The sequence below is a fragment of the Homo sapiens genome, chromosome 19 (genome assembly GCF_000001405.40).
Source record: "Homo sapiens chromosome 19, GRCh38.p14 Primary Assembly".
Classification (NCBI taxonomy): Eukaryota; Metazoa; Chordata; class Mammalia; order Primates; family Hominidae; genus Homo; species Homo sapiens.
In genome coordinates, this window is record NC_000019.10 from 56,065,652 (window position 1) to 56,081,757 (window position 16,106).

Sequence of the window (16,106 nt, forward strand, 5' to 3'; positions counted from 1 at the left end):
CTAGTTTTTGTATTTTTAGTAGCGATGGGGTTTCTCCATGTTGGCCAGGCTGGTCTCGAACTCCTGACCTCAGTTGATCCACCCGCCTTATCCTCCCAAAGCACTGGGATTACAGGTGTGAGTGACCATACCCAGCCTGGCCTCAGAGCTTTGAATAATAGGGATGATACCTTGATTTCTACCCAACTCCTTGTTTCTTATTCTAAATTCCTAAACGTAGAGGATGAAGTAATGATGAGTCTGTATAAACCCTATAACCCTATGTGCTGGCCGCTGCCCTCAGGCTGATAGTGCAGGACAAAGATCCCTGTTCTCCTAAAATGTATTACCTTCTAATGAAGGACAAATGCATGAATTGCAGCTGTTCTCACAGCTAAAATGGCAGGTTCGCAAGAGACTAGGACTATTCTATTTTTCTAGACTAGCTATCTTTGAGGTCTGAGAAAAACTTTTTTCTGCACTGCTGGTTTTTCGTCAAGTTTGGGACATGACATACCATGAAAATGTACCCTTCCTACATAGTTTTTCGTTTTGTCTTGTTGTTTGTTTTTAACATTTGTACCACGGGGAGGGAAGAGCATCAGGAAGGCAACGGACCCGGTCCTGGAGGGCAACCGTGGGGAGTCCCAGGCCCCCGCTGCCTGGTGCATCACATCGTGGGTAGGACAGGTGGGAGCGCTGTCTCCCTGCTGATCTGGGCTCTTATCTCTATGAGGAAGGACCCTTTCCTCACCCGTGAGTCAAACGATAGAGAATTCACCTCCACCTGCCAGCCACGCTGTAGCTGGGGTGTGTGTGGAGCCGCACAAACTCTGATGCTTTGAGCTGCATGGCACAGAACGTCCACCTGAGATCACTGCGTAGAAGCTTCCTGGGAAGGCAATTCCAGGGTCAGTGAACCCCGCGGGACGCCAGCTCCCTGGTTGAGTTTCCCCTGATGGCCGCTGGGTGGCAGCAGAGCGTCATCTTCCCTGAGACCCTCCCGGGAGCAGGGCGGGCTCCTCCCCGCATCCCCACTGTGGATTTTCTCACCGCAGGCACTGCTGACGGTGGGACCGGCCACTTCCACATCGGGGTCCCGCCTGTGGGCTGTAGGGTGTTCAGTGACGTCCCTGCTTTTACCTGCCAGGTGCCTTCCCTCCCGCAGTTGTGACAACCAAGAAAGTCTTCAGACACAGCCGGATGTTACCCGGGGCACCAGCCTGAGACCCGCTGGTCCACGGGAAGCAGGGAGCCCTCCCTCACCAGCACACCCAGCGGCCTCCCCTTCCCCTCGCCGGACGCGACTGGCTCACAGGAAATCCGTGTCAGCCCTGCTCAGAAGGTATCAGCCACTTGTTGGTTCTATTGGAGGTGACAGCTGCTTAGCAGACACCCAAGAATGTAGGTTTGTTCTTTAGCTTTATTCCCCATTGTCAAAATGGAATCAACCAAGATTATCTGGAGGCCCAGGTGTAAAATGAAAATGTGGGTGCTTTGTTCAAAAATTAAGAATTTCAAGATGACTGTGAGTCACTATACTGAGTGCAAAGCCATTCTGAGCCGGGGTCCTGGATGAATGACCCAAGCAGCTGGCCTCCATTGCAGCTGACTGGACCAGGAGCTAGCGTTTGAAGAACAGCCAGTCTTTAAGCTGCCTAATGACCTGTAGGCCGCCTGTGACCAAGGTAAGAGATGAAGTAGGTATCCTTGTTCACAACAGCCAAAAGGTGCAGACAACCCACGTGTCTATCAGCAGATGAATGGGTAAACAAAATGTGGTCTATCCACACAATGAAATATTATTCAGCCATGAAAAAAAGAATGCAGGCTGGGTACAGTGGTTCATGCCTGTAATCCCAGCACTTAGGGAGGCTGAGTTGGGAGGCTCACTTGAACCCAGGAATTTGAGACCAGCCTGTGCAACATGGCGAAACCCCGTCACTACTAGAAATACTAAAAATTAAATAGGTATGGCGGTACAAGCCTATAGTCTCAGCCCGTTGGGAGGCTGAGGTGGGAGGATCACTTGAGCCTGGGAGGTCAAGGCTGCAGTGAACCGAGATTGTACCACTGCAGTCTCCAGCTTGGGTGACAGAGTGAAACCCTGTCTCATTAAAAAAAAAAAAAAAACAACAGGTGCAGTGGCTCATTCCTGTACTTCTAGCACTTTGGGAGGCTGCAGCAGGCAGGTCACCTGAGGTCAGGGGTTCAAGTCCAGCCTGGCCAACATAGTGAAACCTCGTCTCTACTAAAAATACAAAAATTAGCCCAGGGTAATAGCGTGTACCTGTAATCCCAGGTACGCAGGAGGCTGAGGCAGGAGAATCACTTGAACCCAGGAGGCGGAGGTTGCAGTGAGCCGAGATGGCACCACTGCACTCCAGCCTGGGCAACAAAGTAAGACTCCATCTCAATTTAAAAAAAAAAGGAATAAAGGAATATAGTAGCGATACGTGCTACAACATGGATCAACCTCATAAACATTATCCACTGTAAAGAAGCCAGATACAAAAGGCCACTTGTATGATTCCATTGATATGAAATGACCAGAAGAGGGAAATCCACAGAGACACAAGATGAGAGTTTGCCCAGGGCTGGGAGAGGAGCAGGGAATGAGTGACTCTTCCTGGCACGGGGTTTCCTTTTGGAGTGATAGACGTACAACTATGTGAATATACTAAAGCATTATTTAATTGTACACCTTAAAATGGGTGAATTCCATGGTTTGTAAATTATTTTTTAAAAAGCAAAAAATGATGAACCAATATAGTTGCCTCCATCTGAGATCTGATTCAGAATTCCTGAGGAAATAAAGCAGTTAAAAGGCAGGAAATTAGGCTGGAAATTTATTAGTGAAAGTGGAAGATGTGGTTTGCAGAGTGGAGAGAGCTCAGGGCTGTACTTTTATGCAGGGGGTGTTATCAGCACAGTATCCAGGGCTTGTGAAGTTTTCATTAGCCTGAAAATATCTTAGAAACCTGGCAGGGTGTGGTGGCTCACGCCTATAATCCCAGCAATTTGGGAGGCCAAGGTGGGTGGGTCACTTGAGGTCAGGAGTTCAAGATCAGCCTGGCCAATGTGGTGAAACCCCATCTGTATTAAAAACAAAAAATTTAGCTGGGTATGGTGGCAGGCGCCTGTAATCCCAGCTGCTTGGGAAGCTGAGGCACAAGTATCACTTGAACCCAGGAGACAGAGGTTGCAGTGAGCCAAGATCATGCCACTGCACTCCAGCCTGGGCAACAGAGTGAGACTGTCTCAACTGGGGAGAGAGCAAGCTTCAGGTTCCTGAGCCCCACGGCCAATTCTGGTATGGCGGGACCCAGGTGAAGCCTGGGAATATGAATTTTAAAAAGCTTTCCTAAGCCATTCTGATGCAAGTGCTCTTCAGATCACACTCTCAAAGCCAGAACTGCAAAAACGAAGCTCTGAGTGTACCACAAGTGTTGGTCAGAGAGAATACGGGCTGGAGGGTGAGGACCCTGTTTGATGGAGACAGAAAAGAGAAGGAAACTCTGGAGGAGAAGAGCGAAGACAAGTCCTGACTAAGACCATAAACCAGGGGTTGGCAATTTTTTTCTGTAAAAGGCCAAATAGGCCAGGTATGGTGGTTCATGCTTACAATCTCAGCACTTTGGGAGGCCAAGGCGGGAGCATCACTTGAGCCCAGGAGTTCAAGACCAGCCTGGGAAATGTAGTGAGACTCTGTCTCTACAAAAAATAAACTTGAAAAAAAATTAGCCAGGTGTGGTAGTGCACGCCTGTGGTCCCAGCTACTCAGGAGGCTGAGGTGCAAAAATCACTTGACCCCAGGAGGTCAAGGCTGCAGTGAGCCATGATCGCACCACTGCACTCCAGCCAGGGCAACAGAGTGAGATCCTGTCTCCAAAAAAGAGCCAAACAGCAAATATTTTAGGCTTTGGGGGCCATTTAGTCTATTGTAACTGCTCAGCTCTGCTGATACAGGGTAAAAACAAGCATAGGTCTATTGTAACTGCTCAGCTCTGCCGATACAGGGTAAAAACAAGCATAGAAAATACAAAGAGAATTTTGTCACATGCAACATGGATGAACCTGGAGGATATTACATTAAATAAAATGAGCCAGGCACAGGAAGATACAGATGGTCCCTGACTTGTGATGGATTTGACCTTACTTACACTGGTGTGAAAGTGACATTCGTTCAGTAACAACTGTCCTTCGAGTACCCACAGAACCATCTGTCTTTCACTTTCAGTATGCCATCAATCACATGAAATAGTCAACACTTTATTATAAAATGGACTTTGTGTTGGATGATTTTACCCAACTGGAGAATAATGTAAGCATTAGGAGCCAGGTGTAAGGTAGGGTAGGCTAAGCTATGACCTTCTGTGGGTTAAATATATTAAATGCATTTCCCTAGACTGGGCAACATAGAGACCCCATCTCTAAAAAAAAAAAATTTGTTTTTTAATTAGCCAGACGTGGTGCACACCTGTAGTCCCAGCTACTCAGGAGGCTGAGGCAGGAGGATGGTTTGAGCCCAGGAGACCGAGACTACAGTGAGTCATGATTGTACCACTGCACTCCAGTCATGGTGACAGAGTGAGACACTGTCTCAAAAATTAAAAAGTATTTTCAACCTGTATTTTCAACTTATAGTGGGTTTATCAGGACGTAGCCCCGTTGTAAATGGAAGAGCATCTGTATTGCATGATCTCAGTTATATATGGAATCTAAAGTCAAACTCACAGAAGCAGAGAGCAGAATGATGGTTACCAGAGGCTGAAAGTGATGGGGAGGTGGAGTCTGGGGAGGTGTTGGTCAAAGGATATAAATGTTGATGTTACAGGAGGAATAAGTTCAGGAGACCTATTGTCGTACAACGTGGTGACTATAGTTAACAGCAAAATATCACGTACTTGAAACTTGCTAAGTAAGTAGATGTTAAGTGTTTTTTTGTTTTGTTGAGACAGGGTCTCCCTATGTTGCCCAGGCTGGTCTTGAACTGGGCTCAAGGGATCCTCCTGCCTCAGCCTCCCAAAGTGCAGGGATTACAGTCACAAGCCACCACACCTAGCCCTGATGTTAAATGTTCTTACCACAAAAAAAAAAAAAAAAAAAAAAGCATGTAAGGTAACGTACAAGTTAATCAGCTCAATTTAGCCATTCCATAATGTATACATTTTTTTTAATGGAGTATTGCTCTGTCACCCAGGCTGGAATGCAATGGCAGGATCTTGGCTCACTGCAACCTCTGCCTCCCAGGTTCAAGCAATTCTCCTGCCTCAGCCTCCCAAGTAGCTGGGATTACAGGTGCCCACCACCACACCCAGCTAATTTTTGTATTAGTAGAGATGAGGTTTCACCATGTTGGCCAGGCTGGTCTGGAACTCCTGACCTCAGGTGATCCATCTGCCTCGGCCTCCCAAAGTGCTAGGATTACAGGAGTGAGCCACCACACCTGGCTGTAAACATATTTCAAAACAGCAGATTGCACACCATAAATATATATAATTTTTGTCCATTTAAAATTTTTTAATTAAAAAAATATAAACATTTTGAAGAAAACACAAAAGCAAATGGGTGTGGCTGTGTTCTCATGAAATTTTATTTTCAGAAACAGGCGGCTGGCTCCATTTGGCCTTTGGGGCATTTTGCTGACCCCTGCTGGAGATGAGGATCTTGCAGACCAGCTTGTCTGTGTTTCCTGTTTGTCCTGGACTGACTGTTCCTCTGTTACCTGCATTTCTGTAAGGGTTATGAGCTGGGTGCCAGGGATCAGTGGTGCAATCCTGGAAAGGAGCCTCCTGGCAGCTTGAACGGTTGAGGGTACACAGGACCGCTCAGGTTAAGGCCCTAGCCCAACCTCTTGCCAAACCCGCCACACACTGGACCTGCTTGTCTGTGATAGTAGGTTTTATATATCAACATGCCTGAGCCACGGGGTTCCCAGATTAAGCATTGTTTCTGAGTGTGTCTGGGAGGGTGTTTCTGGTTGAGATTACTGTTTGAATTCGTGGACTTAGTAATGCAGATTTCCCTCCCTTCTGTGAGTGGACTCATCTCATGAGAGTCTGAATAGAACAAAAAGGTGTAGAGGGAGTCATTTACCCTGTTTGCTCCCCGCCTGCCTGTTGGAGTGGGGACGCCTATCTTCTCCCGCCCTGGAACTGGGATTTGCACCCTTGGCTCCTCTGGTTCTCAGGCCTTTGGACTTGGACTGGAACCACCCCACAGGCATTCCTGTTTCTCCAGCCTGCAGACGGCAGATCGTGAGACTCCTCAGCCTCCACAATCACGTGAGACAATTCTCATCATAAACCTCTTTCTCTGTTCTGAGAACTGCATCATCAGTCGTGTGCAAATATCAAGTGTATTTACACAAAACTAGATAATACAGCCTACCATACACCTAGGCTATATGGAGAGAAGTGGCATAATCACAGCTCACTGCAGCCTTGAACTACAGGGCTCAAGCCATCCTCCCACCTCAGCCTCCCAAGCAGCTGGGACTACAGGCATGTGCCACCATGCCCAGCTAATTTAAAAAATAATTATTTTCTAGGCTGGGTGTGGTGGCTCATGCCTGTAATCCCAGCACTTTGGGAGGCCGAGGCAGGTGGATCACCTGAGGTCAGGAGTTCGAGACCAGCCTGGCCAACATGGAGAAAACCCCATCTCTACTATAAATATAAAAAGCAGCTGGGCATGGTGGCGCACGCCTGTAGTCCCAGCTACTTCGAAAGCCGAGGGAGGAGAATTGCGGGAACCTGGGAGACGGAGGTTGCAGTGAGCCGAGATTGCACCACTGCACTCCAGCCTGGGTGACAGAGCAAGACTCCGTTTCATTCATTCATTCATTCATTCATTCATTTAGAGACGGAGTCTTGCTGTGTCACCCAGGCTGAAGTGCAGTGGTGCGATCTCAGCTCACTGCAAGCTCCGCCTCCCGGGTTCACGCCATTCTCCTGCCTCAGCCTCCTGAGTAGCTGGGACTACAGGCGCCCACTACCACACCCAGCTAATTTTTGTATTTTTAGTAGAGACGGGGTTTCACTGTGTTAGCCAGGATGGTCTCAATCTCCTGACCTTGTGATCCGCCCGCCTCGGCCTCCCAAAGTGCTGGGATTACAGATGTGAGCCAGACTCCATCTCAAAAAATAATTGTTATTTTCTGTAGAGATGGACTCTCGCTGTATTGCACAGGCTGGAGCCTATTTGCTCTTAGAGCCTATTGTTTTTAGGCTAAAACCTGGACAACATGTTACTGTACTGAATACTGTAGGCAACGGTAACACAACACTAAGTATTTATATATTTAAACGTAGAAAAGTTACAACAAAATACCAAAGAAAATATTTGAAGATGGTATACCTATATGGGGCACTTACCATGAATGAAGTTTGTAGACATGGAAGCTGCTCTGGGTGAGTCGGTGTGTGAGTGGTGGGTGAATGTGAAGACTGGGACGTTACTCTACACTGCTGTAGACTTTATAAACACTGCACACTTAGGCTACCATAATTTATAAAATATTTTTCTTTCTTCAAGAATAAATTAACCTTAGCTTACTGTAACATTTTTACTTTATAAACTTTTATTTACTTATTTTTGAGACAAAGTCTCACTCTGTCGCCCAGGCTGGAGTGCAATGGTGTGATCTCGGCTCACTGCAACCTCTGCCTCCTGCGTTCAAGCGATTCTCCTGCCTCAGCCTCCCGAATAGCTGGGACTACGGGCACCTGCCACCACGCCCAGCTAATTTTTGTATTTTTAGTAGAGATGGGGTTTCACCATGTTGGCCAGGCTGGTCTTGAACTCCTCACCTCAGGTGCTCCATCTGCCTCGGCCTCCCAAAGTGCTGGGATTACAGGTATAAGCCACTGTGCCCAGCTAACTTTTAATTTTTTTTTTTAATTTTTTGACTCTCGTAATAACACTTAGCTTAAAACACAAACATAGATCAGACACGATGGCTTACACCTGTAATCTCAGCACTTGGAGAGACTGAGGCAGGAGGATCACCCTTAGGAGTTCAAGACCAGCCTGTACAACATAGACCCCACCTCTACAGGAAATAATTATTTTTTAATTAGCCGGGCATGGTGGCACATGCCTATAGTCCCAGCTACTTGGGAGGCTGAGGTGGGAGGATCGCTTGAGCCCAGTAGTTCAAGACTGCAGTGAGCTATGTTCATACCATGCTCTCCAGCCTGGACAAGAGAGCCTGACTGTCTCTAAACACACACACACACACACACACACACACACACACGCATGCACACATGTGCATTGTGCAACTGTATAGAAAGATTTTCTTGCTGTACATCCTTATTCTATAATCTTTTTCCTAATTTCTTTAACGTTTTAATTTTTGATTAAGAAAGACACACACACACATTAGTCTAGCCTGCACAGAGTCAGGATCGTCAAGATCCTTCTCTTCTAACTCCGTATCTTGTCCCCCTAGAAGGTCTTCAGGGGCAGTGACATACATGGGGCTGTCTTCTTCTATGACAACGGTTCTTCTGGGTTCCTCCAGAAGGACCTGCCTGAGGCTGCTCTACAATTAATCGGTTTTTTTTTTTTTGTAAGTAGGAGTATGCTCTAAAATAACGTTTAAAAATTATAGTATACCCAGGGGCCGTGGCTGACAATTATAATCCCAGCACTTTGGGAGGCTGAGGCGGGCAGATCACTTGAGCTCAGGAGCTCAAGACTAGCCTGGGCAACATAGTGAGACCCATCTCTACCAAAAATACAAAAAAATTAGCCGGGTGTGGTGGTATGTGCCTGTGGTCCCAGCTACTCAGGAGACTGAGGTTGGGGGATCGCTTGAACCTGAGACGCAGAGGCTGCAGTGAGCCAAGATTGCGCCACTGCACTCCAGCCTGGGTGACAAGGCAAGACTCCATCTCAAAAAAAAAAAAGTATAGTAAATACATGAACCAGTAACATAGTCATTTATTACCATTATCAAGTACTAAGTGCTGTACATAATTATATGTGCAATGGCGTGATCTTGGCTCACTGCAACCTCTGCCTTCCAGGTTGAAGCGATTCTCCTGCCTCAGCCTCCCGAGCAGAATAGCTGAGACTACAGGTGTGCACCACCATGCGCGGCTAATTTTTTGTTTGTTAGTTTTGTGTGTTTTTGTTGTTGTTGTTTTTTGAGACAGAATCTTGCTCTGTCTCCTAGGCTGGAGTGCAGTGACAGGATCTCAGCTCATTGCAGTCTCTGCCTCCTGGGTTCAAGCAATCCTGCCTCAGCCTCCTGAGTAGCTGGGATTACAGGCACGTGCCACCATGCCCAGCTAATTTTTTTATCTTTGGTAGAGATGGGGTTTCACCATGTTGGTCAGGCTGGTCTCGAACTCCTGACCTCAGGTGATCCGTCTGCCTCAGCCTCCCAAAGTGCTGGGATTACAGGTGTGAGCCACCATGCCCAGCTAATTTTTTTATTTTTAGTAGAGACGGGATTTCACCTTGTTGGTCAGGCTGGTATGTGCCCAACTTTTATACCATTGGCAGCACAGTTGGCCTGTTTACCACATCACCACACGCATGTGAGTTGTGCATTGCACTGTGATGTTACAAGGCCTATGACAGCACCAGGTCGAAGACATTTTCCAGCAGCATAATCTTATGCGACCATCATGGTCCGTGCAGCCCATTGTTTGGAATGTCATGCAGCACATGACTACACGCACACATACAGAATATTGATTCTGCTTCTCGAAGAACCCTAATGCATTTTCCACACTGGCAGATTGTCTGTCTTCTAAGCTACAGCAGCAACCAAATATCATGAATGCTTTTTGGGTTCCTAACTCTAGTTGGGAGTCCCAAGTGACTTACTGTGGTTAAGCCCCCAGAATGAGTTGTCAAGGTTCAGGCTCTGTTGATGATGAGGAAGAAGAACCAGGACCACCTACCAGTTACCTCTATTTGACAGTCACTTGGCTCAGTTCTTTGGCTTGGGGGTGTGTGTGTGTGTGTTTGAGACAGTCTTGATCTGTTGCCCAGGCTGGAGTGCAGTGGTGTGATCTTGGCTCACTGCAACCTCCGCCTCCCAGGTTCAAGCGATTCTCCTGCCTCAGCCTCCCGAGTAGCTGTGATTACAGGTGCATGCCACCACGCCCGGCTAACTTTTGTATTTTTAGTAAAGACAGCATTTTGCTGTGTTGGCCAGGCTGGTCTTGAACTCCTGACCTCAGGTGATCTGCCCGCCTTGACCTCTCAAAGTGCTGGGATTACAGGCGTGAGCCACCGCACCTGGCCTTTGCTCAGTTCTTTGCGTAAGTTATCTCCTTCAATCTTCAAAGTAAATATGCGAGATAAACATCATTTACCATCTTTAAAGGACGAAAAAGCTGGAGCTCAGAAAGGTTGGTCTCTTGAACAGGATGGTAAGACTCGTACGTTGCTGACCAGGACCCTAAAGTTTTTCCCCTACCACCACCATATACTCTTCATGAGCCATCCTTTCCCAAATAACCTAAACACACACACACATAAGGAAACAGCACTTGCTATACAAGCAAGTCCAGCTTCAAGACAAGCCCCAGGCTCCGCTCACCATGCAGAATGCTGGGCCTAAGCTCCTCCTGTGTGGAATGCTGAAGAAATCACCACCCTTGATGCAAAACGAGGCCTGTCTCAAATCAGCTTGTGGTGACTGAGGCAAAGGTGGGAATGGGGAGTGACTGTCTAATGGATACAAGGTCTCCTTTTTGGATGACAAAAATGTTTTGGAACTAGACAGAAATGATGGTTCTACAACACTGTAAATGTACCAAATGCTAACTGAATTGTGCACTTTAAAATGGGTTCATTTTGTTATGTGACTTTTACCAGATGAACAAAAACACTGTCTATCTAACACAGATCCATGCCTTTACATGGTATGTTATATAATAACACTTTACCGTCCTTTATCCAGGACCACGACTTCATTTCACAGACACTGCAGTTCTCAAGAATCCAGGTGGTGGCAGCAGAGAGCTGAGAGAAACCAGCACTTCCCTACCGGCCCTAAGGAAGGTCCGGAATAAGAATATTGACCTTGCCCAGTTGCAGTGAGCATTTCTGTATTGCACCAGTCACAGTGGCGAATGCAGCTAAGGAGAGGCAGGTAGATGGAGCCACAGAACCAGATGTGGTCTGGGCAGTGTTTCATCCCACCAGGAATGACAGTGCATCTGCAGCTCCCAGAGGGCTCTCTGACACCCTACCTCCAACTGTGAGCAATCATCTTTACCTCCTCATCCAGAGGAAGGAGGCCAGCGGGATGCAGAGCCTCAGCAGCTTCAGCCCAGGCTCAGGGCTGAAGTGGAGAAGCATCCAGGCCAGTTCTGGCATTGGTGGAACCAGCTGGGCCGGGGGTTGCCCCAGGTAAAAGGAACAGGACCCATCACTGAGACCACAGGACAGAGAACACTGAGAATATAGACTCAGGTGAGATGCACGGTTGAGGCTCGTTTGGTTTCTGAGAACCAGCATGTTGGATTATACCCAGAATAACTAATCCTTTGCCCAATTTTCCCATTTTCCCTCCCAGACACAAAATAGGACTTACTTTCCGGCTCCCTGAAAGCTGGGCATGGCCATGTGCCTTGCTGTGGGGGATGAACCCAGAGCAGAAGAAGTGTGTGTCGCTTCTGGCTGGAGACTTCAAGAGCAGTACACGATTTGCCAAGTCTCTCTGCCTGGCCACGGCAAATGGTGAGTCCCAGAGAGTTGACAACGTGGAGCAGAGCTCCCCGCAACCCATGGCAGGCACGGAACACAAACAAGATAAAATGTTGAGTGTTGTGAGCCCCTGACATGGGGGCTGTTTGCTTGCAGCATAACCGGTCCTATCCTGACACACGCTTGGGGTTGGGGGTCACAAACTCAAATGCCAGGCAGGCGATGTGAGGGACCACGTGGGAAAGAGTGGGTGAGGACTTGTTCAAACACAGGTGACAGGCTGGGTGTAGCGGCTCACGCCTGTGATCCCAGCCCTTTGGGAGGCCGAGGCGGGCAGATCACCTGAGGTCAGAAGTTCGAGACCAGCCTGGCCAACATGGCGAAACCTCATCTCTACTAAAAATACAAAAATTAGGCCAGATGCAGTGGCTCACACCTGTAATCCTAGCACTTTGGGAGGCTGAGGTGGGCGGATCACCTGAAGTCAGGAGTTCAAGACCAGCCTGGCCAACGTGGTGAAACCCCATCATCTCTACTAAAAATACAAAAAATTAGCCGGGCGTGGTGGCTGGAGCCTGTAATCCCAGCGACTCGGGAGGCTGAGGCAGGAAAATCACTTGAACCCGGGAGGCAGAGGTTGCAGTGAGCCGAGATCACACCACTTCACTCCAGCCTGGGTGAAAGAAGCTCCATCTCAAAAATAAAAATTTAAATTAAGGCAGATGCCGGGCTGTTTACCAGTCCAGCTTTTCTGTACCTCACCTCCGATTTCTGTACATCTTTCCCTTTTTTATGTCTACAGATCTTGCACCACATGGTCGCGCTGGAGTCTCTGTGAATCGGCTGTGATTCTGGGGGCTGCGTGATTCGCGAATCATTCATTGCTCCATTAAACTCCTTTAAATTTAATTCGGCTGAAGTTTTTCTTTTATCAGAGAGGAGACATGTGAGACATGTTCCTTCTCTCTCTGCCCAATTTTCCTGTTTTCCTTCCCAGGAGGACACAGGGAGAAGGCCACCGTCCGCACGCTGGGAAGCAGCCCTCACCAGACACCAGACATGCCAGCACCCTGATCTTGGACTTCCATCCTCCAGAACTGTGAGAAATTAGTGTCTGTTGTTTAAGACACACACACTACGTATTCTCTTAGAGCAGCCTGAACAGACTAAGCAGGGGTGTCCAAGGTAGAGAATACAGTCATAGGTTCTCAGTTTCTGTTTGCGGTTGGACCAGTAAAGACCCTTCCTCATCCCTCTTTTCCACTTATCACTAGAGACAGAAACTAAAATCCATGATTTCAGGCTGCTAAAAGCCTAAAACAGAACAGCAACAAAATAAGGTGGGTTGGACGAGCTTGGTCTACAGCAGTATGTTTTATTTGGTTCTCATGGAGGTATTCCACTGTTTTTCTTTCAACATACTGTTGCTGGCTTGAATCATGGAGATATTAAGGAAGAAAGTCTAATAATTATGATGTTACATGTTACTAAATCTGTCTTGCCAGCTTCTCTATTTAAAAAAATATATATATCAGGCCAGGTGCGGTGGCTCACGCCTATAATCCCAGCACTTTGGGAGACTGACGGGGGCAGATCACTTGAAGCCAAGAGTTTGAGACCAGCCTGGCCAACATGGTAAAACCCCATCTCCAAGAAAAATAAAAATTAGCCAGGGTGGTGGCGCACACGTGTGGTCCCAGCTACTCAGGAGGCTGAGGCACAAGAATCACTTGAACCTGGGAGGTGGAGGTTGCAGTGAGCCAAGATCATGCCACTGCACTGCAGTGTGGGTGACAGAGCAAGACTCTGCCTCAAGAAAAAATAAATAAAAAATGAAGGCCGGGCGCGGTGGCTCACGCCTGTAATCCCAGCACTTCGAGAGGCCGAGATGGGCAGATCACGAGGTCAAGAGATCAAGACCATCCTGGCTAACACGGTGAAACCCCGTCTCTAAAAATACAAAAAATTAGCCCGGCATGGTGGTGGGCACCTGTAGTCCCAGCTATTCGGGAGGCTGAGGCAGGAGAATGGCGTGAACCCGGGAGGCGGAGCTTGCAGTGAACTGAGATCATGCCACTGCACTCCACCCTGGACAACAGAGCAAGACTCCATCTCAAAAAAAAAAAATGAAAGCTCTGGCATCGTTAGGTCTGACTTCCTACTGGTGACCACAGTCAGTGTAAGCTGGAAACGGAGCTCCTTTCTCCTGGGCTACAGTGCTCTGGTTTCCCCACTCTACCATCTCACACTGGCTCCCTTATTAGCCTGGTGCTCTCTCCAGCCCCGTAGGATGCACTTGTAACCCTGAATCCACCCCATGCACGGAGCTGGATGGTTTGGGCACAACTCCCTCTTTTGGCTTTAGTTGAAACACTCATTCCAGGCTCTTGGTTTTACAAATGAGAAAATGGGGTTTAGCAAAGAGAAATGAGTTTTCAAACCAGAGGCCAGTGGTTAGGCTGTGCAGCCACCTCTGCTCTCCTCCCCTCCCTGTGTCAGCAGGGATATTCCGGAGCCTGGTCTGAAACTGCTGAGCTCGAAGGGCTTGGATCCAACAGTGCTGATCATGACCACGGAGGTATGGCCTGGTCACTAGGGAGAGAGCTGAGCTCGAGGGGCTTGTGTCCAACAGTGCTGATGACCACAGCGGTGTGTCCTGGTCACTGGGAGCGGCTGGGCTCTAGGGGCTTGTGTCCAACAGTGCTGATGACCACAGCGGTGTGTCCTGGTCACTGGGAGCGGCTGGGCTCGAGGGGCTTGTGTCCAACAGTGCTGATGACCACAGCGGTGTGTCCTGGTCACTGGGAGCGGCTGGGCTCGAGGGGCTGGTGTCCAACAGTGCTGATGACCACAGCGGTGTGGCCTGGTCACTGGGAGCGGCTGGGCTCGAGGGGCTGGTGTCCAACAGTGCTGATGACCACAGCGGTGTGTCCTGGTCACTGGGAGCGGCTGGGCTCGAGGGGCTTGTGTCCAACAGTGCTGATGACCACAGCGGTGTGGCCTGGTCACTGGGAGCGGCTGGGCTCGAGGGGCTTGTGTCCAACAGTGCTGATGACCACAGCGGTGTGTCCTGGTCACTGGGAGCGGCTGGGCTCGAGGGGCTTGTGTCCAACAGTGCTGATGACCACAGCGGTGTGTCCTGGTCACTGGGAGCGGCTGGGCTCGAGGGGCTTGTGTCCAACAGTGCTGATGACCACAGCGGTGTGTCCTGGTCACTGGGAGCGGCTGGGCTCGAGGGGCTTGTGTCCAACAGTGCTGATGACCACAGCGGTGTGGCCTGGTCACTGGGAGCGGCTGGGCTCGAGGGGCTTGTGTCCAACAGTGCTGATGACCACAGCGGTGTGGCCTGGTCACTGGGAGCGGCTGGGCTCGAGGGGCTGGTGTCTTAACAGTGCTGATCATGACCACAGATGGGACATGGTCACAAGGGGGCGCCACATCCCACTTTCCTACCCTAACCGCCTCCTCCCCCCTCAACTTTCTTCCAGCTGGGGCGCTTTGCATTTGTGGCTATTGGTGCGTGTGAACAAGCGCTCCTTGCGCCCCACAGGGCCTCTCCCCTGCTGTGGCGCCGCCTGGACCACGCTTCCTGAACTGCCCTTGGAAGTTCCCCTCTTTCCTCGCGGCTCAGCTTTTCCGTCCACTTACTCGCCCGTGTTTATCGGGCACGCACTTCCTGCCAGTGGCTCTGCTAAGCAAGGGGACACGGCGGTGACCTCGACAGGCACAATCTCTGCCCTCACGGGGAGTGGGAGTGGTTGCGGGGGGGGACACACACAGATGATGACTGAAGAGACAAAAAGAGACCCCTGGGGGTGAGACATGGAGGAAGTCCTGGGCATGGGCAGGTGTGACAGGCAGCTGTGTGGGAGGCGGGTCCCAGGGGAGTGAGATCCAGACAGACCTGGGCAAGAGGAAGGGGACCCTCCACCCAGCTCACTTCCTGCTCTGAAGGCCGCAGTCTGTATCCCTGAGGGCAGGGACTAGCGTGTCTGCCCCGCTGCATCCCCAGTGCCTGGAGCGGACGACGAGTCGAGGGTGACTCCACCAGGCGGCTACGGTGTCAAAGCAGCTCCGGCGTGGGGTCCGACTGTCCTGAGTTTGAATCGGGTTCTCCATTTACTGAGCGTGTGATCTAAAGTGAGTGGCTTCACTTCTCTGAGCTGGCTGGCTTCTCTGTGACCAGCGACATCCAGCCATGTCTAAACAGTGTGGGCAAAGCCAGGCAGCTGAAACCAACTTTGCTGTGTCTTGTTTTAAGTCCTGGAGAAGTCCCTTCCCTCTGAGCCTGCTTTCCCGTCTGTAGAGTGGAGGGTTAAAAGAGGTTGTTTTGTTTTGTTTTGTTCTGTTTTGTTTTTTGAGATGGAGTCTCACTCTTTTGCCCAGGCCGGAGCGCGGTGGCACTATCTCGAATCACTGCAACCTGTGCCTCCCGGATTCAAGCAATT

At 49.3% G+C, this 16,106-nt stretch overlaps 1 long non-coding RNA gene across 1 annotated transcript, besides 3 other annotated features; it reads left to right on the plus strand.

Annotated features, from left to right (window-relative positions):
* The first annotated feature begins 1,032 nt into the window (after window positions 1-1,032).
* LINC01864 (long intergenic non-protein coding RNA 1864) lies at window positions 1,033-13,150 on the plus strand. The gene is made up of 4 exons (NR_110741.1): window positions 1,033-1,324; window positions 10,910-11,424; window positions 11,528-11,691; window positions 12,461-13,150. It is a non-coding gene; the product is annotated as a long intergenic non-protein coding RNA 1864 (long non-coding RNA).
* Window positions 14,977-15,036: a silencer, noted in NCBI's record as "silent region_11062". NCBI's record gives its function as "represses an Ori minimal core promoter by ATAC-STARR-seq in GM12878 lymphoblastoid cells {active_cell/tissue: GM12878}" and the evidence as "EXISTENCE:reporter gene assay evidence [ECO:0000049][PMID:35858748]".
* Window positions 15,327-15,476: an enhancer, noted in NCBI's record as "active region_15111". NCBI's record gives its function as "activates an Ori minimal core promoter by ATAC-STARR-seq in GM12878 lymphoblastoid cells {active_cell/tissue: GM12878}" and the evidence as "EXISTENCE:reporter gene assay evidence [ECO:0000049][PMID:35858748]".
* Window positions 15,807-15,866: a silencer, noted in NCBI's record as "silent region_11063". NCBI's record gives its function as "represses an Ori minimal core promoter by ATAC-STARR-seq in GM12878 lymphoblastoid cells {active_cell/tissue: GM12878}" and the evidence as "EXISTENCE:reporter gene assay evidence [ECO:0000049][PMID:35858748]".